The 27,017-nt window shown below is 35.0% G+C and overlaps 1 long non-coding RNA gene across 1 annotated transcript; it reads left to right on the top strand.

Moving 5' to 3' along the window:
• Positions 1–26,780, top strand: LOC124905231 (uncharacterized). The gene is made up of 2 exons (XR_007068360.1): positions 1–113; positions 25,360–26,780. It is a non-coding gene; the product is annotated as an uncharacterized LOC124905231 (long non-coding RNA).
• Positions 26,781–27,017: the final 237 nt, after the last annotated feature.

Genomic DNA, 27,017 nt, shown 5'->3' with positions numbered 1-27,017 from the left:
CTGCCATGCAAGAAATGTGAAAAGTTCTTCGGAGAGAAGGAAAATTATATAGGTCAGAAACTGAGACCTACATAAGGAAAGAAGAGCATTGGATGAAGAAGAAATAAATAAAGGTAATATGAAATTCTTTATTTTTCATATTTTTATTAGTCTTTATTTTCATATCGTTAATATTTTTCTTTTTAATTAAACTAGTTAGTTTAATTAAAGTTTACTCATTTTTTTCCTTGGCCACACCCAGTCTACTTATGAGCCCATCAAAGGCATTCTTCATTTCTGTTACAGCGTAGTTTTTTATTTCTAGCATTTAATTCATTTAATTAAAGTAGGATCAGTAACAATGCATTATTATAGCATATGGTTAAATAAAACAAATGGTACTAATATCATAAAAGACATGATGAAAGAAACTGAAAATACTCTGTTGTAAGTTTCCTGCTTTGCATATAGTGTTATAGTATTATTTGAAGGCAGACATATTTGTTAAAATATGTATTGCAAACTTTAGCACAAGTACTAATTTTTTAAAAAGAGGTATAATTTATATGCTGAGAGATAATAAAATGGAATAATATAAAATGCTCACATAAAACCAGAGAAGGCATAAAAAGAGGTGAAAAAGAAAGAACAAGTGGAATAAACAGAAAACACCTGAAAGCATGGTAGATATTAGCCCAAATGTATCAATAATCATTTAAATGTGACTCATCTAAATATAGCAATTAAAAGCCTCACATTGTCAGAGTGGATTAAAAGAAAAACAATATCTATGTTGTCTACAAGATACTCACTTTCAATAGCAAGAGTCAAATAGGTTAAAAGTAAAGAGATGAAGGAAGGTATACCAACACTAATCAAAAGAAAGCTGTAGTAGCTATTTTAATTCAGAAAAAGTTAATAGCAGGACAAAATATCTAGGATAAAAAGTGGCATTATAAAATGATATATATAAAGTGGTGAATTCTCCAAGACAACAATTCCAAATATGTATGCATTTAACAAGATAGCATGAAAATATGTGAAGCAAAACTGATAGAATGGAAGGAAGGGAGAAATAGACAAATCTATTGCTATAGCTGGAGACTTCTGCACCCTTCTTTTTGCAATTGATAGATCAATAGGGCAGAAAATCAGTAAGGATATAGCCAACTTGAAAAATATTATCAATCAACTTGATCTAACTGACCTTTATAGAATATTCCATCCATTACCAGTAGAATATATAATATTCTTAAGCTCTCATGACATACTCACCAAGACACACCACATTCTATGCCACAGAATACACTTTGACCAGTTTCAAAAATTAGAAATCAGATAAAGTATCTTCTTAGACCACAGTGAAATTAAATTAGAAATAAATAACTGAAATATAGGTGGAAAATCCTCAAGTATTTGGAGATTGAACAAAAGTTGTCTAAATAGCACATGGATCAAAGTGTCTCAAGATAACTTTTAAAAATATTTTAAACTGAGTGAAAATATATATACAATTTATCAAAAACTTGTGAGATGCAGCAAAATCAGTGAAATGTATAGTATTAAATGCATATATTAGAAAAGACAAAATTATAAAATCAGCAATTGAATCTTACACTAGAAAAGTACAGAAGGAACAGCCATTTAAGTCTCAAGCAAGCAGAAAAAAGAAGTAATAAAAATTGAAGAGGAAATCATTCACATTAAAAATTAGAAAACAATAGAGAAATCAATGAAACCAAAAGCTGGTTTTTTGAAAAAAATCAATAAAACCAATAAGCTCTATCCAAGCTCACTAAGGAAAAAAAGAGAAGACATAAATCACCAATATCAGAAATAGAAACAGGGTCATCACATTACTGATGCCACAGACATTAAAAAGATCATAAAGGGGCTGGGCACGGTGGGTCACGCCTGTAATCCCTGCACTTTGGGAGGCCGAGGCAGGCTGATAACAAGGTCGGGAGATTGAGACCATCCTGGCTAACATGGTGAAACCCCGTCTCTACTAAAAATAGAAAAATTAGCTGGGCATGGTGGTGTGTGCCTGTAATCCCAGCTACTCGGGAGGCTGAGGCAGGAGAATCCCTTGAACCAGGGTGTTGAATGTTGCAGTGAGCCATTGCACTCCAGCCTGGTGACAGAGCGAGACTCCATCTAAAAAAAAAATAATAATAATAATAATAATAAAGAAATGCTATGCTCACAATTTTGATAAATTAGATGAAGTGGACCTATTTCTTCAGATATACAAAGTATCAAAATTTACAAGGGAAAATAGATTATCTGAATAATTCTATATTTATTAAAGTCATTAAATTAATAATTATGAACCTTCTAAAAAAGCACCAGACTGAAATGTTTTCATTGGTGAATTCCACCAAGCTTTAAAGGAAGAAATGACAAAAATCCTTCACAATGAGTTCCAGAAAATAAAAGCAGAAGGAACGTTCCCTAAGTCACACTACTGTAACCACCCAGTGGGTTCTCCTTGCCCGCTGCCTAGAGAGAGCTGATTTATCAAGACAAGGGGACTGCAACAGAGAAAGAGTTTCATTCACACAGAGCTTACCGTAAGGGAGACCAGCATTTTATTATTACTCAAATCAGCCTCCCTCAGAATTTGGGAATTGTGGTTTTTAAGCATAATTTGGCGGGTAGGGGTTGGAAAGTGGGGAATGTCGATTGTTCAGATCAGAGATGCAATCATAGGGAGTTGAAGCTGTCCTCTTGCCTTGAGTCAGTTCCTGGGTGGGGGCCACAAGTCCAAATGAGCCGGTTTATTGATCTGAGTGGTGACAGCTGATCCATCGAGTGTAGGGTCTGCAAAATATCTCAAGCACTAATCTTGGGTTTTACAGAAGTAATGTTATCCCCAGAAGTAATTTGGCTTCAGAATCTTGCAGCTTCTAGTTGCACGACTCCTAAACCATAATTTCTACTCTTGTGGCTAATTTTTTAGTTGTGCAAAGGCAGTCTAGCCCCCTGGCTAGAAGCGGGTTTGTTTTGGGAAAGGACTGTTATTGCCTTTATTTCAAAGTTAAACTATAAATTTTCTCCTAAAGTTAGCCTATGCCTAGGAATGAACAAGGATAGCTTGGAGGTTAGAAGCAAGATGGAATAAGTTAGGTCAGATCTCTTTCACTGTCATATTTGTCTCAGTTATAATTTTTTCAAAGGCTGTTTCACTATGAGGCCAGCATTACCCTAATGCCAAAGTCAGATAAAGACAGTATATTAGAAGGAAAAACTACAGATCAGTATTTCTCATGTACACAGATGCAAAAATCCTCAACAAATTATAAGCAGATAAAGGGAACAATGTCTGAAAATAATTATTTGCCCTGACCAACTGGGACAGGGGAAAAAAAATACTACATTGGAGAAACCTGATAAGCCCTACCTAAGCCAGGTGATCAAGGTCAACATCAACAAAGTCATGTTGATATTATATTTTCTTGATATAATATGATTAAAATATTTACCTCAATGGTATTTCTTCCAAAAAGGCATTATTCCCATATAATCATGAGAAAAACGTCAGACAAATCTGAAATGAGGAACATTTTGAAAAACACCTAAGTAATACTCCTCAAAACTGTCAAGGTCATCAAAAACATGGAAAATCTGAGAAATTGTCAGACCACAGGAGTGTAAGGAGAATGACTAAATGTAATGAAGAATTGTTGGTAGGATCTTGGTACAGAAAAAAAAATCAGTAAAAACTAAAAATCTGATCAAACTATGGACTTTAGTTAATAATAATGTATCAATATTGGTTTACTAACTTAAAAATATACCATACTCATGCAAGATGTTAATAATAGAGAAAAATTGGTATTGGTTATACGGGAACACTCTGTACTGTCTTCACAATTTTTCTGTAAATTTAAAACTGTTCTAAAATAAGTTTATTTTAAAAAGCAATCAGAATTAGACATGCAGTAAATAAATGTATATATACACATAAAGGTTAAATCATTCAAGTATATATATGTTTACACCTATTGTGCGTTTACTTGATTTCCTAATTGTACTCTAAATATATTTTAAACATATGCAGAGTATTACATAAATATTAAGTATTTTGGGCTGAGCGCAGTGGCTCACGCCTGTAATCCTAGCACATTGGGATGCCAAGGCGGGTGGATCACGAGGTCAGGAGTTCAAGGCCAGCCTGGCCAAGATGGTGAAGCCCCTTCTCTACTAAAAAATACAAAAATTAGCCCGGCATGGTGGCATGCGCCTATAATCCCAGCTACTTGGGAGGCCGAGGCAGAGAATTGCTTAAACCTTGGAGGCAGAGGTTGCGGTGAGCTGAGATCGCTCCACTGCACTCCAGCCTGGGCAACAGAGCAAGACTCCATCTCAAAAAAAAAAAATTAAGTATTTTGTATTAAGTATTATAATGCACAAAATATGATAAGAAATAGAAAAGATCTTGATTTAAAGGCTTTTTCAGATTGAGATATCAATAGCATTAATTGAAGATGTACTACTTAACAGGATATTTAATAAGCACTTTCTCAAAATAATCAATATATATTATTGTTATTTATTGTTGTTGTTACATATTGTTTTAGTTCATTTTGCATTCCTATAACAGTATACCACAAACTGGGCAATTTTAATAAAGAAAATACACATTTTCTTACATTTCTGGATACTGGAAAGTCCAGGTTTGAGGGGCCAGTATCTGGGAAGGGCCTTTTTGCTATGTCATAACATGGTGGAAGGCATTATATGGCAATAGAGCAAAAGTGTGCATGTCAGTTTGGGTCTGTCTTCCTTTTCTTATGTAGCCACCAGTCCCATTATGGGGGCCACACCCTGATGACCTTATCTAATCTTAATTATATTCCAAAGGCCCTTCTCCAAACAGCATATGAATTTGGAGATTAAGTTTTTAGCATGTGAAATTTGAGGGACACATTTAATCCATAGCGCATGTGCAAGCACACACACACACACACACACACACACAGATATATATATATGTGTATATATATATATATCTGTATATATAAGCTTTTACACTTAACAATTTTTATTTTGCTGATGACTGTGTGTGTACTTGTGAATTATATAGAATAATTATTTTTATGAGTAACTAAAAACTTACCGTACCATTCATTAAGGATATAAAATCTCTTTGGCAGTTAGCAGTTATTGTCATGGCTACAAAACCTTTTCTTTTAAACCAGGCTCAATGACTAATATGTAGGAAATATATAATATACAAGACATTGAGTTTGTTCTCTCCCAAAGTGAACTAATTGCTCTCCAGACCATATCTGTAATCATCCATCCTGGAGCTTAATTTCCCTATCATTCTAGGACTTTAAACTTCTGCCCCTCTATGTTGGATCTTCTATTCTCCAGATTCTATGTCTTCCTATTTCTTGTTTTACTCTGACTTTTTTTCTGGAAACATTCTTTATTTCCTCTCCTTTTTTTGGTGCCAGATCAACCAGATAGAATACCATTTCTATCTTCATTTGATCATCATGACAATTTATTAAATGAAAGACAAAAAAGTAATACATCATTAGAGTTGTATAATACTTGTTTAAAATTGTTCAAAACCAATTACTTATTTTCGCTTCATTGCTAAAGGCATGGCAAAAAGGAATGTAATTTTGTTTTCAGACAATGAAATCTTTTGCTTTGTAAAGAATTACTGTTGTCTGGCTAAAGAAAAAGGGTTACAAGATCACCTTGTCTTTAATGCAAATCACCTTTTCAAGTAATTGTCTCTTAGCCTGATATCTTGTAAATCACCATCATTAATTGATCAGGGTAAGGGATATTTTGCATGGCTAAAGACAGTTGAAATTACACCTTCCCCCAAGTCATCTAGAGAATGATTTCCTTAAGGAAACACCTGACCTTTGCCTGGTGATTATCTTTCAGAATACATTATTGGAACCTGCAAACAACTCGAAAACATTAAAGAGTAGGAAGATTTCTATATTTTCAAGTCTTCTTTTCTGGAAGAAAATAAATATTCCTGTCTATTTTCATAAACATAATAACATAATGATATAAATTGATACTAGACATAGAAAACTGATGAAAGTAACTAATATATATTTGTGAAAAGAAACAGTGTCACTTAGCATTTAAATAAAAGACAATATTTCAACTGGTAAGGTGAATCTTTAGTGTGTATGTATTTGTGTAATTTTTCTAAATCAAATATTTTCTCACTGTTTTGCCAAGTAGTGCAGTATGAATATATTTTTCTTGGGCAGTGTTTTATTAGAGTAAATCATTACCATGTTTGTTTGCTTATACACATTTGCATAATGTTTTTCCTTAACCTACATCATCTTCCACCAAATGTTTCAGTGTCTTCTTCTAAAACAGTTTACGGTAATATTTAACCCGTGGGTTGAGTTTTGTTCTACTTGGAGTCCCTGTTTTTGAGGCCTCTATTCTCTTACAAGGTGAACTAAATGTTTTCCAGATCATATCCACAACTATCTAACCTGGAGGTTAATTTCCCTATTATCCTAGGACTTTAAATTGCTGCCCCTACAATTGGATCTTCTATTTTCCAGATCCTATGTCTTCTTTCTTGTTTTGCTCTTATGTTTTTCTGGAGATACACTCCATGAACTTCCTAATAAAAGACTTCTGGGAAGTAAAAAAAAAAAAAAAAAGGCAAGTCAGGGTGAGTGTTTACATCTGCAATATTTATTCTGCTATTTTATGTAATTAATCATTTGTTTGGGACTTCAAAGTCTGCAATAATAAATTTCCTCAACAATTTAAAGGCTTGTTTTCCTCCTTTGCCTTCCAGCTTTCAGTGAAGCGTTAAGAAACATCAGTGTCATCTTGATATCTATTCTGTCTCTTGTTAAAAAATTGTGTGTGAGCATTTTCCTTTCTAAAAGTTTTAAAGATCATCTGCTTGGCACTGATGTTGTGAATTTCACCAATAAATGACCGATAATCTATTATAGATTTCAAATTTTTCAACTTGAACACTTATTTCCTTCATTTTCTTGCATTTTTTGATAATTTACTCTCTTTTATGAATGTGTTTATTGAAATGGATATGATTTGATTGGCTATTTGATCTTCTGAATCAATCATCTGATTTTTTTTTTTAGACAGAGTCTCGCTCTGTCACCCAGGCTGGAGTACAATGGCATGATCTCAGCTCACTCCACCTCATGGGTTCAAGCAATTCTCCTGCCTCAGCCTCCCAAGTAGCTGGGACTACAGGCAGGAGCCATCACACTCAGCTAAATTTTTTGGTATTTTTATTAGAGACGGGGTTTCACCATATTGGCCAGGATGGTCTCGATCTCTTGACCTTGTGATCTGCCTGCCTTGGCCTCTCAAAGTGCTTGGATTACAGGTGTAAGCCACCACGTCTGGCCAATCTTCTGAATTTTTAATCTTTTTCTCCTTTACTCTATTTAAAAACTTTTTATTCTACTTTCCAGAAGACTTCCTTTAGTATATCTTTCATCACTTCTACTATATTATTTCAACTATACAATTTTAATTTTCAAGAGCTCTTTCTTAGTCTCAGATTATTCTTCATTTTGTAGCATTCTATTTTTATTTAACAGTTACAATACTTTTCTTTTCTTTTTTTTTTCCTTTTGAGATGGCCTCTTGCTCTGTCACCCAGGCTGGAGTGCAGTGGCGTGATCTCTGCTCACGGCAGCCTCCACCTCCTGGGTTCAAGGTAGTCTCCTGCCTCAGCCTCCTTAGTAGCTGGGATTACAGGCGCACGCCACCATGCCTGGCTGATTTTTTGGCCTCCCGAGGTGCTGGGATTACAGGTGTGAACCACCACGCTGGCCCTACAATACCTTTCTTTATCCCTCTGAGTACATTAATCGTTGTTTTACTTTGATTTTTTTCTACTGGTTCTCCATATATTTTCTGTTTCTTTGAATTTCAAAAATGTTTTTATATTCAACATAATTAAATTGTTTTAATGTTTTACAGTTTGTTTCCTTTTATATATTCATTATTCCTGTGGAAAGCATTTACCATATATTTGGTGTGTCTTGGATCATTGTTTATATTTACATGTCTGACAGAAAGTTGATTGAAATGTCTGTTGGTATAAAGGTAATTTTCCACACATTCATCAGGCAGTGAGGGTAAATGTTAATGACGATAGTCCCTAATAGAGTATCCATAGCACTTTTCTTTGAGGCAGATCAGTTTATACAGTAAAAAAATATAAATCTTTTTATGCAACTTCCATGCTTGTAATACTTCCCTTATCTTCCATAATATGGAGAATGTAATTCAAACTTCATACCAGCACCTTCAAAGCCCTGCGTGATCAAGCTTCTGCTCATCTCTTAAACTACATTTCATGTCACTCTTCAGTCTATACTTTAGTCCTGTTGCCTTCCTTTTGATAGATGCAGGAGGCAGATAAGGAAGGGTCCCTGGAAAATCTCCAACCTGCCCCACAATGTTTATGCCAGATGTTTTTGTGCAGATAAGGGAACCAGAACAGGGTCTTACCTGGCCATGCCTGCAACAGATTGGAGGCCCACATGCACTGGGGGAATGGGATGGAGTCACTAGGAATTTGCGCCTTATGCAGGAGATGGAGCCTGGCCTCTTCAGATGAGGTGCGGTGGCCTGGTTTTTAATCTGTGAGGTAGGAGCCTGTTGGCAGGACCTCCTCTTTCTTTGCTGAGAGCTTTCTTTTCATCTAATAAGTCTGTCCCCCTCACCCTTCAGTGTGTTCACATGCCTAATTTTTCCTGGTCATGAGACAGGAACCCGGAACTTAGCCGAACTAAGGAGCAAAAAATCCTGCATCACTTTGATTATATGGACAGGTCAATTTTTTGCTCCACAAAGACTTTGTTTTTAATATTTCCTCTACCAGGAATTCTTTTTCTTCCAAATCTTTATATGCATATGTCCTTTCACTCTCCACCACAGGTTTCAGATTAACCGTTGCTTCTTCAGAGAGGCTTTTCCTAGCCAGCTTAGGTATGAATATTTCCTAATTCTTATCTAGCAGAACACCACATTTGTTCCCTTCTTCAAATATATCATAAACTGTAATTGTATTGTATATTTATTTGTTTATTCATTAATCCTTTTCATGACCACTAGAATGTGGGCTCCTGACAAGAGGGAACTTTTCCATCTTTTTTACTACTATATCCTTACACCTAGCACAGTGACATACACAGACAAGTTTCTCAAGTATTTGGTCACTGAATAAGATGTGACTATCTACCACGACAGTAAGATATGGAGATCTGGCCACTTTTCTATGCACATCTTTGATTGTTCACTTATTGATTACATACTAAGAGGTATCTAACACATGATTCTGCTAAAAACTGGGCCTGTAGATATTTTTAAAAAAGAATTTATTTTTCTCTAAATATTTACAATATATTTGAAGGAAAAGCTATGTAATGTGAAATTTTAGTATAATAGAGTAGACATTATAGTAGGAGTATATAAAAGATAAAATAGAACTACCTGTGGTCTCTTGGACACCCTTGCAGAAGATGACTTCCTGGGAACTCTTCTGGGAGTGAATGTTATCAGCAAATTCCCAAAACAACACCCCTTAGACAAAAAGCCTCCTCACCTGTGCATTGCCTAGGCCACCCACTAAAGGTAATGGCCACAAAGAGGTGGATTTGTTGAGTTGGTGCCATTCCTTCTACTGCCAACTTCACCAAAACAATGACACAGTCTTCCTTCTGCATGGAGACTCTTCTCTTTCTTGTATTACAGTGGATGCCTCCTGCAGATAAGAAATGCTTAACTGAGAAATGCTCATGTTGGGATATCATCGATGAGACTTTTATTTGGGCATGGTGACGGTTTCCCTTGCTGCCACTTGACTCAATCCCAGGAGCCTCAGTAGAGGATATAATATTACACAAGGTGCTCAAAATGGTGGAATTGCTCAGTGCTCCCATAAATATACATTTATAATTTTCATTTGCCACATGGTAAACTGAAAAATACAGAATATATTAAAAAGAAAAAAAAAGATAAAATACAACTACAGATAAAAGAGCAGTCAATTCTACACATGGATTTTCCAAAATACTACTAAAATTTTGAAAAATATGCATAGGATGCTTATTAGGTAAAAAGTGGGAGTGGAAGAGTGAATTTGGCTCAGAAAGAACAGCCAGTAAAAAGGTAAAGAGAAATGAAAAGATATTTGGTGCCTATTATAATTTAATGTACCTCTGTTAAACGGATTTACAATATATCTTATTGTGCTTTGGCTCTTAGTTCATGTTTAATTTTCAGATACTAAAAATGAAAAATTCTGTGTGCATACATGTGGTTTTTCCTTATGCTTTTGGGGCACGTTCACATGTAGAATTTGGTTCTATTTCCTCTGTACGTCAATCTCATTTTCAATAGAGGTCCAGATGAACTCAACCCAGTGCCTAGCCAATTTAATATCTAAATGCAGCCACATGAGGCAAGACTAGCTGAACCTGGCCCAGATTCTAAATGTATACACAATTATCTACTTTTTTTTTGTTTTAAATCACTAAGTGTTTGGATTGTTGGTTAAACATGAATAGACAACTAAAACAGGAATGATTTAAGTAGTTAAGAATACCTTTTGTCCAGACAGTGAACATGGATGGAGGTTGATGGGCTATAGTGGATGACAAGATCACTAGAGAAAGGGAGATAGGAGAAGAACACTTGTTAAAAAAGATTATTTATATATGCTGATAGTTATATCAAGTATAATTACGACCAGAATTACAGTGAAGAAGAAACTAAAATTTGCCAAGAATAAAGTAGAATGATCCAAGATTCAATAGAAATCAACAATATTGAGGGGAAGGATATAAGTTAGATTGATGATATAAACGTCATAAATGAGGGTTTTTAGAAAGAAAGAAGATAGAATATTCTAGAAGTGGCAATAAAAATCCAAGAGAAATGTTACCTTATCTCCAGAGGAAACATATGAGGGTTGTGGGACACAGTAATAGCCATCACTTGGGAGAGCTTCAGGAGAAATTGTGTCATCAGAGGAAAGTCTCCTTGAAGATAAAAGCAACATAAAAATTAGAGGTTGAGGATTCAAGAGATTTTGCTAATGGCATACCAAGAATTACAGAAATCCAAATGATAGGATTGGAATAGGGAATGTCTAGAGCCACACAGAGAAAAGATTATGGAAAATGAATGAACTTTTCTCAGACTTTTTCAGGTGACTGGCAAGCAAAGTTAATGACAAGTCAAGAGTGATTCTGATTGACTCAGGGAGGATAGTTTTGTTGAGCACTTTCTCGGGAGGATAGAAATGACTGATTCATATTTCAGGTCACTACTAACCATGTAGATGGACATAGAAGACCTAGGAGAAATGTGTTCTTACCCAATGTGCAGGGCTCACCCAAGGATCTAACTCATTTATTAGAATTGAGGCCCAAAGGAAGATGGAAGGACTGGAGCGGCACAATCAAATCTGGTAAAAGGAGGAGGCAGTGGGAAAATAGAGGAGAAAATACTGTTGGGGAGGTAGAATCTATGGAAATAGCTTACTTCACAAATTAAGTATGAGAATCACTTGAGCCCAGGAGGTCGAAGCTACAGTGAGCTGTGATTGTGCCACTGCACTCTAGCCTGGGCAACAGAGTGAGCCCTTGTCTCAAAAATAAATAAATAAACCTAAAAAAATGAGACAGTTATATTTCTGGGAATTTATAAAGTGTATTTAGAAGACACTATGTGAATTTTATTCTTTCAAACTCAATAATATATGAACATGAAGATGATACTAATACCAGAATACTCAAATTGATTTTTAAAATGACAAATGCATTATTTGAGTCACTATTTAGTATTTAACTTGAGTTTCTATAAAGTAACAGATTCTAATTTATCTTTCCCGTCTTGTCAGAAGCACAATGCCTGGCATATAATGGAGTAAAATAAGTGTTTTTCAAATAAATAAAAGTAATACAAAGACTATAAGGTAAGTACTATTCAAGTAACAAGATCTAGAATATAATTCAGCATCTCAGCATCTAATACAAGCAGTTAAAGAAAACTAACAGGTAGATATAGTGGGGAAGGAAAAGATGAGAAAGATAGATCTATGTTGTTAGTTAAGATTCTTCAGTAAAGGTCATATGAATGACAAAAAAGATAAAATGATAGTGACATTTTGTTTAATTTCAATGTTTATGTATGTATACGAAAAAGAATTTAGAGCATATGAACTAATCATTTTTATGCCAATGCATTTTCTTTTATTGCCCAATACTTGAATGTAAGCTGTAGGAATCTTGATGAAAACCATTGACTCTAAAGAAAGGAAATAATACATTAATAAAATGTTTATATTTTTATTATTTATATTACAAGACTTTTAAATTAATTTTTGTATTTTTCACATCCAAACTATTCCTGTGCACATTTAAGTCAAATGACATGAAAAATAGTCAAATATAGTCTTCTGAATGAGTTTAATGACATCCTAGGATGATACCAGCTGCTTCATGAACACAATCCCCTGTTCTTCATGAACACAATCCCCTGTTCTTCATGGAATATCCCACTTTGTAAAATAGAATAAAAAACCAGGAAAGCATGCTGTCATGGGAGTCAAATGATGAAAGTGTTTTTAAGAATGTCAAATGCTACATAAAGAATGAAGAAAATGAGGACTCAAAATTGGCCAATGAATTTAGCAAGGTTTAAGTCTCTGGTGATCTTACCAAAAGAAGTTTCTGAGAAAAATTGGAGGATAAAGCATGACTGAATGAATTACAGAAAGAAATGGAAGAGAGAAAATAGAGATGGTGAGTATATTCAATTCTCTTACTTTACAACAGTACAACAAATTTTACCAATAGTGAATGGTTTCTTCAAATCCTAAAGTGCTTTAAGGATTCCTAACAGCTAGCCATAGTCCCCAACCAGACTTAGACTTTTCTTCCTCTGCTCTACTTATATACTTTATATAGCTGTTATCTGTGAGCATCCTTCTAGATTTCAATTATCTTTGATGCTAATAACTAGCACCATATCTGCAACATAGTCATTTCATAATACATATTTGTTTCATTAGAATATAATCAGACTATTTAATCGATTAGGTGTTATAGGACTAATATAGCAACAAAGATCTTTAAAAATTATATCAGAACATTGTTATTTTCACCTTGGTTCAATATGGCCAAGGAGATCGATTTTTGCTGCCCAAACCACAATTTGGAACCTATGTACTACAACCCCTTACCTTACTAAAATACCAAACACTCCCTAGTTTCTCCCACATATCTGTAAGCTCATGTACATGCCTTAGTACTTTTGGAGAAGATCTACCATAATCCCAAATTAAGATTCAAACATATCTTGAAGTGGCTGGAAAACCAATGCAGAGATTCTAGATGAGATTATTTAGGTTGACTGACTTGTTCGTTGGTCTATTATTTTTGCTGGTGTAATTATTATATAAGAGGAATGTTTGTGCCACATATTCAGGGAGAGGAATGGAACGATGTTAGGGAGAATAGTGTGTGTTTCTATTCGGATCTTTGGAGCTGTCATTGATGAACCCTTTGGAGAAATAAGTTTCAGGCAGAAGCTGAAGAAGATACTTTCATAAAGTACAGTGCATCATAAGCGGCTGTATCTAACCCATAATGGTAACAAAGTGACTCAGAATGCAGAAAGCTCTGTATTTCTTTTCCAATTCCTCTACATGCAGAGGTGTAAAAATTTGGTTATGTACACAGACACACACGCACACTTCCCTACACAAACACATATGTATTTTAGTAAATCTATGACTGTTATTATTACCAAAGAACTCTCATTTACATGAAAGAGTTAAAACATGTTTCTTGAAAAATCCATGTAGCCTTTTCTCAAGCACAAAAATTTGACTGTCACTATAAAACTAAGTGAGAGAAATTCTACAAACACCTAGAGAACAATGAAACTATGCAAAATAAACACATTGGGATCATGAACAATGAATCATGCTGGGCAGAGTTCTTTGACAGATTATAAGATTAGCGTATAAAGGGAGGACTACGAATAATAAACGTCTAAGCTTCAATAACGTGGTTGATATAGTGGTTCAAGTAAGTGTATAAAAATGGTCAAATAAGTTTTTATAAGAAAAATAAAGTGGATAAAAAACAAACTAAGAGATCATAAATGTGGAGAATGATAGATGATAGTGAGCCCTTTGAAGCACCAGAAAATGATTCTTGGCGCTATTAAATGTATTTCTGACCATACATAGAGGGCAAATAAGGCTTGAATTCGATTGGCAGATTACATCAGTTTGGAAGATGCTGTAAAACTGGTTTGGAGAGAGAAATGATATAACTGGTTGTAAATAAGTTGATTCAATTTGTAAAAGAGCAAGCAGGAAAAATAATACCAAGCAACTATATAAAAATACAATTTCTTTTTTATTGAAATATAATAGTAGTACATATTTTTTGGCTGTGTGTGATGTTTCGATACCTGTATACAATGTGTAATGATCAAATCAGGGTAATTGGAATATCCATCACCTAAAACGTTTATCTTTTCTTTGTGTTGGGAACACTATAATTCTTCTCTTCTAGCTATTTTGAAATATACAGAAATTATTGTTAACTATAATTTCCCTACTGTACTATTGAATACTAGAGCAATATAATTTTTTGCTGATAAAAGTGATGGCATAGCAGTTTATGGTATATAGGATGCCTAGTAAATGCCTATTTTTATGAGCTTTTTGTGTAGCAAGGCCAAGTGAACAGACTACTTTTTGGAATAAGGTTGATTATCCAGGGGAAGTCACGGAGTTCTCCTCAGACTGCACATTGTGTTTGACAGATGGGCCAGCTGCATATCTTGTTTCCATCCCCATCTGGCTCCATCTGATTCTTGAAGACTTTTCTGCATGTTAGGAAACAGACTGCAAATATTTCTTGCTAGAAGAGTAACATGTCCATAATACTTTCGGATGTTTAGTCAGATGCTACATTCTATGGTCTTAGTACATGTTCCATTTACAGTCATCTCCTCTAATGTAGTTTTGTTGTCTGTCGTATAATTTCATAGACTAAGTGAATAGCTTCCATACACCCCATATGGTCTAAAAGAAAAAGAAAAGATACAGAGAACTTCTCTTGTTTGCAGTTTGGTGTACTATTGGTGTTATAAGTAAGGGAATGTTGTTAGTGGGAAATGCAAAATTTCCTCCAGGTAAAACCACATAATTTGTCTCTAGTTTTTCAAATTCGGCTGGGCATGATGGTTCACGCCTGTAGTCCCAGCACTGTGGGAGGCCGAGGCAGGTGGATCACTTGAGGCCAGGAGTTCGAGACCAGCCTGACCAACATGGTGAAAACTCATCTCCACTAAAAATACAAAAAATTAGCCAGGCATGGTGGCACATGCCTGTGATCCCAGCTACTTGGAAGGCCAAGGCAGGAGAATCACTTGATCCCAGAAGGCAGAGGTTGCAGTGAGCTGAGATCGTGCCACTGCACTTCAGCCTGGGGGACAGAGCAAGACTCCATCTCAAAAAAAATTGAATTAATTAAAAAAATAAAATTTAAGCTCAAGTAAGAAAACATAATACACCTACCACGTACTCGCAAAATTTAAAAAAAAATTTAAAAGATTTAGAAAAGAAAGCAAAGTATTATATATGCATCAAAGAAGGGGAAGTATGAGTTATGTTTAAATTTAAGTTGTTAGCCTCCCAATATGTGAATGCATGACACTATATACAGAAAAAATAAATGGAAATAAACAAAGAAATTTTCCTGTTATTATAGTGAAAATAGGTTTTGTTTTTAGCCAAAAACAATGTTGTGTTAGGTTTTTCACAGCCTTAGAAATTCTTCTATAGCAGGAATTACGACTCAGCACATTTTCTTACATAGATATGTGCACAATAAAATATTATCAAAATAATAAATTCCAGATCTAATTACTTCCTTTCTTCTCTTTGAAAGTGCCAGTGACTCTCAGGTCTTAGAATATCAACTGATGCCAAAACCCAAATGCTCTAGAAGTTCTTTAAAGGCCAATAGATGCATTAAAGAGTTCCATTAGAATTGGGTGGTAAAGGAAGAGAGTAGGTATTTGTGCTGAGAAAATCAAGTCATTTTGTGATGAATATACAAGAATGGCAAGCATCCTCAAAGAAAAACTTGTGAAATAAAAATTTCATTCAAAGATGGACCTACTGATACTTACAAGAGGTAATTATGATGATAAATTTGAATGCATTTACATCTTGTTTCTTAAATAAGAACATTTAAACATCTTCAAGGGCTGTGGGATGCTTGCGTACTCCCAGTCACTTTTGACATTAGTCATGGAAACTGGGTTAAGGGCAAATTCTTGAGGCCTCATAATTGGGCAAATCTGAGTTGGAAAGGACTCTGGATGAAAAATGCCAATTGCAGTTAAGTAAAAAAAAAAAAAAAAAAAAAATGGATTAGGCCGGGCACAGTGGCTCACGCCTGTAATCCCAGCACTTTGGGAGGCCGAGGCAGGTGGATCTCAAGGTCAAGAGATCAAGACCATCCTGGCCAACATGGTGAAACCCTGTCTCTACAAAAAATATAAAAATTAGCTGGGCATGGTGGCACTCACCTGTAGTCCCAGCTACTTGGGAGGCTGAGGCAGGAGAATCGCTTGAACCTGGGAGGAGGAGGTTGCAGTGAGCCGAGATTGTGCCACTGCACTCCAGCCTGGCAACAGAGCAAGACTCTGTCTCAAAAAAAGGGGGTGGGAATATCATATCTTCTGACAAATCCATGTTTGCCAAGAAGAAATGAGGTTAAAAATCACCAAGAATTTGGATTCAGATTCTCAGTAGGCAATAAAGAGTCCAAAGAATCATGAAGAATTAGGCGTTGAGGTTGAGGGATCACAGATTTGAACAGGAATTGTCATGACTCCAGCAGAAAAAAAGAAGACCTGGAAGATATAACTGTTGTTTTGGCCATTCAAACATTCCATACTGCTACCAGAAACTCTACCATATTTTGAAAGCTTTCTTTTAAGTGACCAGGCACAGGTTTTTCCTAAAAGACACAGTGAATAAGTTATATTTTGTATGTATTTTATCTTTGTGGTTAAACTACAGATACATTGCTGATGTTTGAAAATAATTAGGATTGTGGTTAATGTTTAAAAATTAAAAATTAAGAATTATTTTAAAAATAAATGGAAGAATTTTAAATCCATTACAATTGTAGCTCAACAGCTATAGCTGACTCCCTACCACATTAAAAGTGGCTTGAAACTTGATATGGAAAGGCAAATATGAGTAAGCCCTATCTCAGACTCTCAAGAAATATGTAATGTAGTGGTAGAAAATGATCTTCAAAACTAATTCTAATTAGACACACAACTATTAAGTAGACACAAAATACGACAGCAAAACAGTAGAGCATTTAGGGGGATAAACATTTCCAAAATAATCCCAACCTTTTGTGTAAAGTGGAGCCTTATTTAAATTACAACTGATAAAAGGTAAGGGATAAAACAAGCCACACTACCATTAGTTTTGTTCAGCTTAACTTTCACTTCTATAACCTGAGGGGAAAAGGCAAGACAGCACTCCTTCAAAGATGCATCAAGAGCAAATATCTGTATCCTGTTTCAAATGCTATTTATTGCCATCTAGAACAGAATGAGTTCAAAGTTCACACAGAACATGTATTACCATATGACAGATTTTGATAATATTAATATTACATGCCAAGATATTGGCACTGGATGATGCTATTGGTTAGCACTGGATGATGCTACTAAGCCCGGATTATGAAGAGAGGCAGGTCTTTTTTCTGTTGGGTACGTTCTGTTTCTACTTTAGCTTTTTTGGAATCCACTTGCCATATGGGCTTCCTTGAGATCTAATTTGACTGAAGTCAGAAGAAACCTATGCTTACTTTTATTAAATCATTTCCTCTTATATTGATGACATGAGAATTTTTTCATTCTTTATTCTATATAAATGCATTGAATGCTTTCTATATACCATATGTTCTTTGAATGAGGAATACACTGTTGAATGAAACCAATAAAGTTGCAGCCTCATAATTCACAGTTTAAGGTAGGAGGCAGACATTACACTCTAGATAAAAAAAAATGAATAGATGAATAAATGACTAGGTTCTAATCAGTAGTCTGAATTAAAATATAGTAGAATATGGTGGCAGAGAAGGACAATATTAGTAATTTTGGTAGCATGGCCAGAAAAAGCTGCTTAGAGGAGACAATTAGAGACTGGAATGAAGTAAGGGACATTGTCCTGTAACTTTCTGTGGGGGAAAGAGTTCCTTGGAAAACAAATGAAAGGACCTGTTAGGAGTATGTCTTGGGCATTTTTCTGTCTTGCTGTGAGCAAGGCAGAAAGAGTAAGAGATGAGGACAGAGGGGTAGTCAAGGAATAAATCTCATTTGGTCTTCCCCACCCCCAAACTAAAGCAATCATTTTCACAAACATTTCCAGGGTCCCATTGGGATATTCCACTGCACCTCCCTTCTCAGGCTTTGTCCCAGTTCTGCCTTTCTTGTTCTCTCTAGCTGTGGACTGAATGTGTCTCCCAAAATTCATATATTGAAGTTCTAATCCTCAATGCGATGGTATTTGGAGGTGTGGTCTTTGGAAGGTAATTAGGCTTAAATGAGATCATGAGAATGGAGCCCCCATGATGGAATTAGTGTTCTTTATTTTATTTTATTTTATTTCTTTTTCTTTTCTTTTATTATTATTACACTTTAAGTTTTAGGGTACATGTGCACAATGTGCAGGTTAGTTACATATGTATACATGTGACATGCTGGTGTGCTACACCCATTAACTCGTCATTTAACATTAGGTATATCTCCTAATGCTATCCCTCCCCCCTCCCCCCACCCCACAACAGTCCCCAGAGTGTGATGTTCCCCTTCCTGTATCCATGTATTCTCATTGTTCAGTTCCCACCTATGAGTGAGAATATGTGATGTTTGGTTTTTTGTCCTTGTGATAGTTTACTGAGAATGATGATTTCCAATTTCATCCATGTCCCTACAAAGGACATGAACTCATCATTTTTTATGGCTGCATAGTATTCCATGGTGTATATGTGCCACATTTTCTTAATCCAGTCTATCATTGTTGGACATTTGGCTTGGTTCCAAGTCTTTGCTATTGTGAATAGTGCCGCAATAAACATACGTGTGCATGTGTCTTTATAGCAGCATGATTTACAGTCCTTTGGGTATATACCCAGTAATGGGATGGCTGGGTCAAATGGTATTTCTAGTTCTAGATCCCTGAGGAATTGCCACACTGACTTCCACAATGGTTGAACTAGTTTACAGTCCCACCAACAGTGTAAAAGTGTTCCTATTTCTCCACATCCTCTCCAGCACCTGTTGTTTCCTGACTTTTTAATGATTACCATTCTAACTGGTGTGAGATGGTATCTCATTGTGGTTTTGATCTGCATCACGCTACCTGACTTCAAACTATACTACAAGGCTACAGTAACCAAAACAGCATGGTACTGGTACCAAAACAGAGATATAGATCAATGGAACAGAACAGAGCCCTCAGAAATAATGCCACATATCTACAATTATCTGATCTTTGACAAACCTGAGAAAAACAAGCAATAGGGAAAGGATTCCCTATTTAATAAATGGTGCTGGGAAAACTGGAAAAATTAATTCAAGATGGATTAAAGACTTAAACATTAGACCTAAAACCATAAAAACCCTAGAAGAAAACCTAGGCATTACCATTCAGGGCATAGGCATGGGCAAGGACTTCATGTCTAAAACACCAAAAGCAATGGCAACAAAAGCCAAAATTGACAAATGGGATCTAATTGAACTAAAGAGCTTCTGCACAGCAAAAGAAACTACCATCAGAGCGAACAGGCAACCTACAAAATGGGAGAAAATTTTCCCAACCTACTCATCTGACAAAGGGCTAATATCCAGAATCTACAATGAACTCAAACAAATTTACAAGAAAAAAACAAACAACCCCATCAAAAGGTGGGCAAAGGACATGAGCAGACACTTCTCAAAAGAAGACATTTATGCAGCCAAAAAACACATGAAAAAATGCTCGCCATCACTGGCCATCAGAGGAATTAGTGTTCTTATAAGAAGAGGAAGACATCAGAGCCTGCTTTCTCTCAGGCATATGAGGCTACAACAAGAAACCGGCTCTCCACAAACCAAAATGTGGACTGTAAGCAGGCAGACACCAAATATGTTGACATTTTAATCTTGGACTTCCCAGCCTTCAGAACTGTAAGATATAGATTGTTGGTTAAGCCACCTAGTTTATGGTGTTTTATTATTATAGCAGTCCAAACTGATCAAGATATCTTCTCTCGAGTCTTTGCTATACAGATACATCTAATTATCCCCTCTCCACTGCCCTGCATGCCTAGCTATGATTTGTTGTATTTGTGAAAATAATTAGGAATAAATATATTTGTATTTTGGGGGAGATTTTATATATAGTTTATTTACAAAGTTAATCTTTATAACAGTAAATTGCTTAATGTAAACACAAGGAGGGGTGTTAGTAATAATTTGAGGGTGGAGATATGCAGAGAGTAACCAATATCTGTAATAACAAATGCCAAATTAAAAAAATAAAATATATGTTATAACAACGGTATTAAAATACTATGAAAGTTGTTGGGCAGTTCTGCCACAGGTTGGGTAAGGCAAGAAACCACTCTGGTCCATTTTCTTAGAGCTAAGACAGATGTTTATCACTTTAAACATCAAATCACACACAATGGAGGGGCAAAAACATTGATACAGCCACTTTAAAATGGAGATTTAAAAACTATATCCATATTGTGATTTCTTGAGGATCCCTTGTATTTTTCAGCCATCAGTCTGTGAGGAATAATAATCATCTCTAATATCATTGATCCTTTGAGCCAATAACCAGAGGAAAAATATTACCTTCAATACCCTCATCTTACTTTATCTGTCTTATTGATCCTGTTCACTAGGTAAAGAAAGAGAGTGAAAAGTCCTTTGCAGGGACATGGATGAAGGTGAAAACCATTATTCTCAGCAATCTATCACAAGGACAGAAAACCAAACACCGCATATTCTCACTCATAGGTGGGAACTGAACAATGAGAACACTTGGACACAGGGCAGGGAGCATTACACACCGGGGCCTGTCAGGGAGTGGGGGGCTGGAGGAGGGATAGCATTAGGAGAAATACCTAATGTAAATGATGAGTTGATGGGTACAGCAAACCGACATGGTACATGTATACCTATGTAACAAACCTGCACATTGTGCACATATACCCTAGAACTTAAAGTATAATAAGAAATAAAGAAAATGTGGCACATATACACCATGGAATACTATGCAGCCATAAAAAAGGATGAGTTCATGTCCTTTGCAGGGACACGGATGAAACTGGAAACCATCATTCTCAGCAAAATATCACAAGGATGGAAAACCAAACACTGCATGTTCTCACTCGTAAGTGGGAGTTGAAAAATGAGAACACGTGGACACAGGGAGGGGAACATCACACACCTGGGCCTGTTGAGGGGTGGGGTGCTGGGAGAGGGATAGCATTAGGAGAAATACCTAATGTAAATGACGAGTTAATGGGTGCAGGAAACCAGCATGCCACAAGTATACCTATGTAACAAACCTGCACGTTGTGCACGTGTACCCTAGAACTTAAAGTATAATAATAAAAATAAATAAGAATAATTAATACAAAAAAGAAAAAAAGAATAAAATTTAAAGAAATCTATTCTTTGTCTCTTCCTCTCTTTTCTTTTTTGGTCCATAAATAATCTCTGGGCAAAATTATATGTTATCAGGAAACATTACAAAACTTAATTAAGGCTTTTAAAATTTAAGCCCAACATACTATTTTACTTAATTTATATTGGGAATAGGAAGCTTTAACTCAAAGGAAACAATTCCGTTTGTAATCTCTTCTCCAGAAGAGGGAGGCCAAGTCACACTTACCCTCCAGTTTAACAAAGGCTCATATTAATCTCAACTGTATATTTCACTCTATCTCTGGCTGGTAAGTTAACCTAAGAATTGTTCTTTGTGGCAGCCTTTTTACTTGTAGTTTTCTGACACCTAGAATTGTCTCAGTCTAAGTTTTTTAAAAAAGCAAAATGCCCACCCAGAGATAGTTTAGGTTAAAAAAAATACCTAAATTTTAAATTGAAGCATTGAAGCTTTTATGAGCTCCTTGGTAGTTCATTAAACTCTATTTACACTGGCCTTCCTTTATTTCTTGGCCTTACAAAATGTCTGTCTGGATGTCCTTTCCTAAGGTCTCCCAATGATTAGCTCAGCTAAACATGGTATCTTCTGGGAAGTCTTCCTGTATAAATAACACTCTTCACCCCAATTCTTTCTACGACATAATTGTACCACCCCATTATATTTCCTTCACAGTAACATTATTCAAGAGTATCTTATTTATTTACTTGTTTTCTGTTTTTATCTGTTTTCATCCCCTAAGATGCAAGAACCATGATTTTAGTTATGTTATTTTTCTGTTCACCTAAAAGAGCACCTGCTACATGCACAGTGTAAAAAGCATTTTGATACTTATATTTATAAAATGATTTCAAAGTTATAGGAAAGTTGCAAGCAAAAAAAAAAGAATGTTTATATATCCTTCAACCAGATTAATCAATTGTTAATATTTTGCCATATTCCATGATGTTTTCTAAATATTTATGCCTATCTACCTGTTAGATATATTTATTTTCTAAGAATATTCTCATGATTAGCAAGAGTGTAGATAGCAAAGTCAGAAAATTTATAATTTAAACAGTATTATTAGCTAATTCAATGTCCATATTTAAATTTCACAATTTTTCTAAGTTCCTTTTAGAGGTGGGGTGCAGTGGTTCATGCCTGTAATCCCAGCTTTTTGGGAGGCCGAGGCAGGCAGATCACCTGAGGTCAGGAGTTCGAAACCAGCTGAGCCAACATGGTGAAGCCCCGTCTCTGCTAAAAATACAAAAATTAGCCGGGCGTGGTGGCGGGCACCTGTAATCCCAGCTACCTGGGAGGCTGAGGCAGGAGAATCGCTTGAACCCAGGAGGCAGAGGTTGCAGTGAGCCGAGATCACGCCATTACATTCCAGCCTGGGGAACAAGTGAGACTTTGTCTCAAAAAAAAAAAAAAAGTTTCTTTTAGAATATTTATTTTTTTTCTATTGTGGGATTCAATCTGCAACCATGCATTGCATTTATGTCTACATCATGTGTCTTTAGTAGCCTTTAATCTGGAATCGTTTCTCAGCTTTTCTGTTCTTCTTGATCATGAAATTGTGGGGGAGTACATACCAATTATTTTACAGAATGTCAATAAATACTTTTTAAAAAATTAATTATAAGAACATTGACAGTCATTTAGAATTTTCTTGTCCTTAGTAAGATAGATGAAAATTAGAAATCGTATATGAGGAAATTATATATTTATATATAATATATGTATAATGTATATTATATATACATATATTAATGTACTTATATATGATATACATATATTATTTATACATATATTATTTACATGTATTATTTATATATTATATGTAAATAATATAATACATACTAGATATTACATATATTTGAAGCTTCTATATCATATGATATTATAGAAGTTTCTATATAATATAGTAGCTTCAGATATATGTAATACATAATATAGTATATAATTATATAATTATGTATAAAATTATGTCTAGAAATATATATTATGTATAAAATCATAATATATAATTTCTAATGTTTATCTCTTACTAATACATATATAATATGTATAAATGTATTTTTAAAAAAAAACTTCACTCAGTCCATTTTGGCATCTATCAATAAAGTGAACACTAGCTATAGTTTGGGAGAGTCCCAGTTTCTTATCTGTGAATCTTTTCATTTATATAATAAAGTAAATAATTACTTCAAATCATTTGACTATATTTTCCTATATTTGCTATTCAGGAAAACATGTTTCCTGAATTTTTCTATTAAGTTACTTAAGATACACTATGAAAGTTTAAGCAACCTATTAGAATATGATTTATGTGGACCTCCTTCAAGGAGCATCCATTAATAAGTAGATCAAGCTTTTAAAAATCAAGGATTTAGTAGGTTTATTTTTCACTTTCATGTTGCACAAATACCCTTGTTTGACCATAAAAGAGGAGACATTGTCTTACTTTAGGTTTATTTTCAACAAAATTTTCAAGATGGATGTTGCCATTGGCCAGCATATCACTCTCCAAAGGAGAGAACCCGAATATGATTTGAAAACCAAAAATCAATTAATCTCAGATTTTAATATTTTCAGAGTCCCAGTACACTAGATCATGTCCTAACCATTTTACCTACTTGTATTCTATGAATAAGTTCGCTGAATACTCAGTTTGAATAAATCCATTCAAACAACTGGGAACTATGACTATCACCTTGCTTCATAAATTATTAATAGCCTCAATCCCAAAAGTTCCTAAAAATTTTGTATCGCTTCTCAAAATTTTCCATATCTAATGGGAAAACTGTCTCATATTTTTAATCTATTCAGTGGTTTCCCAGCCCTTGATACACGTTGGAATCACCTGGGGAACTTTGAGGCCCTAGCTACTCTCAGGCCCCAACACCAGTGATTTTGATATAACTAATTTGGAGTGGGGCCTAATAATTGGTATTATCTTATTTTTTTTGGCTTGGAGAATTCTCAAAGATTTTATTGACGACATAGCTCCCACTCCACCATGAGAGACAGGTAATGTCCTGGCCCAAGACCGACTCAGACAGGGAAACTTCCATGATTTTTAAAGTCTCAATAAGGTGTCTTCCTCAATGTCATCCCAATCTCACATACTTAGTCACTTGACAACTCATATTCTATTAAGAAGACAGGCCAGAGGGAGAAGTGTCTACTGTGTATCATGTCCTAATGGTGACTCTGACAGCTGGTGTATAACTCCATTCTAGGTTGGCTTTGCCCTTGAAGATCTCAGGTCACCTACCTTAAATTTTTTCTTTCATTCCAATAGCTTTTAAAGCACAAGTTGTTTTGGTTACATGGATGTATAGTGGTGAAGTCTGGGCTTTTAGTGTATCCATCCCCTGAGTAGTGTACATTGTAATTTGGTATTATCTGAAAAGAACTCCAGGTGCTCCTAAAGTGGAACGAATTGAGAATCACTGATGTGAACCAAGGAAATTCCTATCACCTAGCAACATTATTTAAGTAGAATTAGCTAAGTATGTTTCAATCTGATAGCCCCGCTCCTTATATGTTGCATTCATTAATCCTTCCCCTCACTAACAATTTATCTGTCTAATTCTAATCTTACCTTTTTTTTCACTTAGATGCAATGGATTAAGACTCTTGACTAGAATAATCTGAAGCATTCTGCGTGAATTTGTGACCAAAGAAACCAAAAATCAGGCTACCTTTGACAATGTCAAATTACAGTGAACTGTGGAGTCGATTATACCTCTCATATTTCTTTATTATGTTAAATGCTTAATTATTTGCTTGATTCTGTCTTTGTCATAGTCCTTTATTACAATGACGTCTTATTTAAGTAAAAGAATTCCAAATACATAGAAAACAAAAGCATTTGTTTTATTTCAAAATAATGAAGAAACATAATAGGTTATACAACTTTTCAAGAGACCATTATGCTGTTAAATCATTTATATATCTTCTCTTTATTTGGACTCAGAAAATATGGACATTATAATGCAAAAAGTTACTGAAAAATCAATGTCAGCATCATCTGAACTCTTTTCCCCTAATCTAATCTAGGCATTTGGATTACCCATTTCTAAGCACATCAGTGGTTTTTGAATGTCAGTAGCACCCTGCTTAATCAATAAGCCTTTATTTGGCTCAATGAACTGCTGATACGTACTTTTACATATTCAAAATCTGTCCCTCAGTATGGATACTAACTAGATCTTTTTTGAATGAGAAGGTCAGGTCAGGCTCCCCCTTGGCAATGATACCAGCTCCCTCAGATTCTCATTAATGGAACCATGTGCTCACTGAACAAAGAATGCTTACAGAAAAAAAAAAGAATATTGACGTCAGTGTATATTATATTCCTTAAAAATATTTATAAACGAGCATTCGTTATAGAAGCAAGGAACATGACAGCTTATTGATTATGCAAATATGTTCCTTGTACGCTTTTAAAATAAATCAATTAGTGCAAGAGTTGGCAAAGTCTTCCTTAAAGGGCAAGATTATTAAAATATTAGGCTTTGCTGGCCATTTGGTCTGTCACAACTAATTAACTCTGCTGTCGTAATGGGAAAACAGCCACAGACAATATGTGAAATAATGGATGTGGCTGTATTTCAATAAAACTTTGTTTAGAGAAACAGGTGGTGGGACAGTGTGTTGATCCCTGAACTAATGGGATAAAATATAACTTAAATATAATATGCATGTATGTACATATGTTTCTGTTTACAAAATAGAATTGAGTGTCTCTTTCAGCTAATTGAGCACCATAATGTAAACCTACAAGAGGTACGAGAGAATTTCGTATATGTATTTGAAGTCTTGACACTGCTAAATCTTTTGTTTGTAATTGGCATGCCATGTTGGAAGACATAATAGAGAAACTGTCTATCCATGCGTCCTTTACTTAAGAAAACTAAACTCTTCTCTGAAGTTATGTGGTATAGATTTTTCCTAAAGGAAGCCAACCAGTTGAAAGATCAAGCTATGCATTAACTCATCACACTTTAAATAAGTAAATAAATAAATAACTCACCTAGTTCATTGTTTGGATGGTTTATTGGATGTGAGATACTTCATACTGTCCTGACACAGAGTTTATTACCTATGTAAGAGAAGGCACATATGGTTAGGTTTCAAGAGATATTCTAATTGTTTCCTGTGGTGATGTTTGAACTCTACAGTCAAATTCAGATGCATTTAATTTGGTAAGGTAGACAATTGGTTAAATGTTTGGTGTCAAAGTAAGAAATACATAGTGAATTGATGGAGAGGA

The sequence above is a fragment of the Homo sapiens genome, chromosome X (genome assembly GCF_000001405.40).
Source record: "Homo sapiens chromosome X, GRCh38.p14 Primary Assembly".
Taxonomy (NCBI): domain Eukaryota; kingdom Metazoa; phylum Chordata; class Mammalia; order Primates; family Hominidae; genus Homo; species Homo sapiens.
Note: the sequence above shows the minus strand (reverse complement) of the source record. Positions and strands in the feature narration are given on the sequence as shown.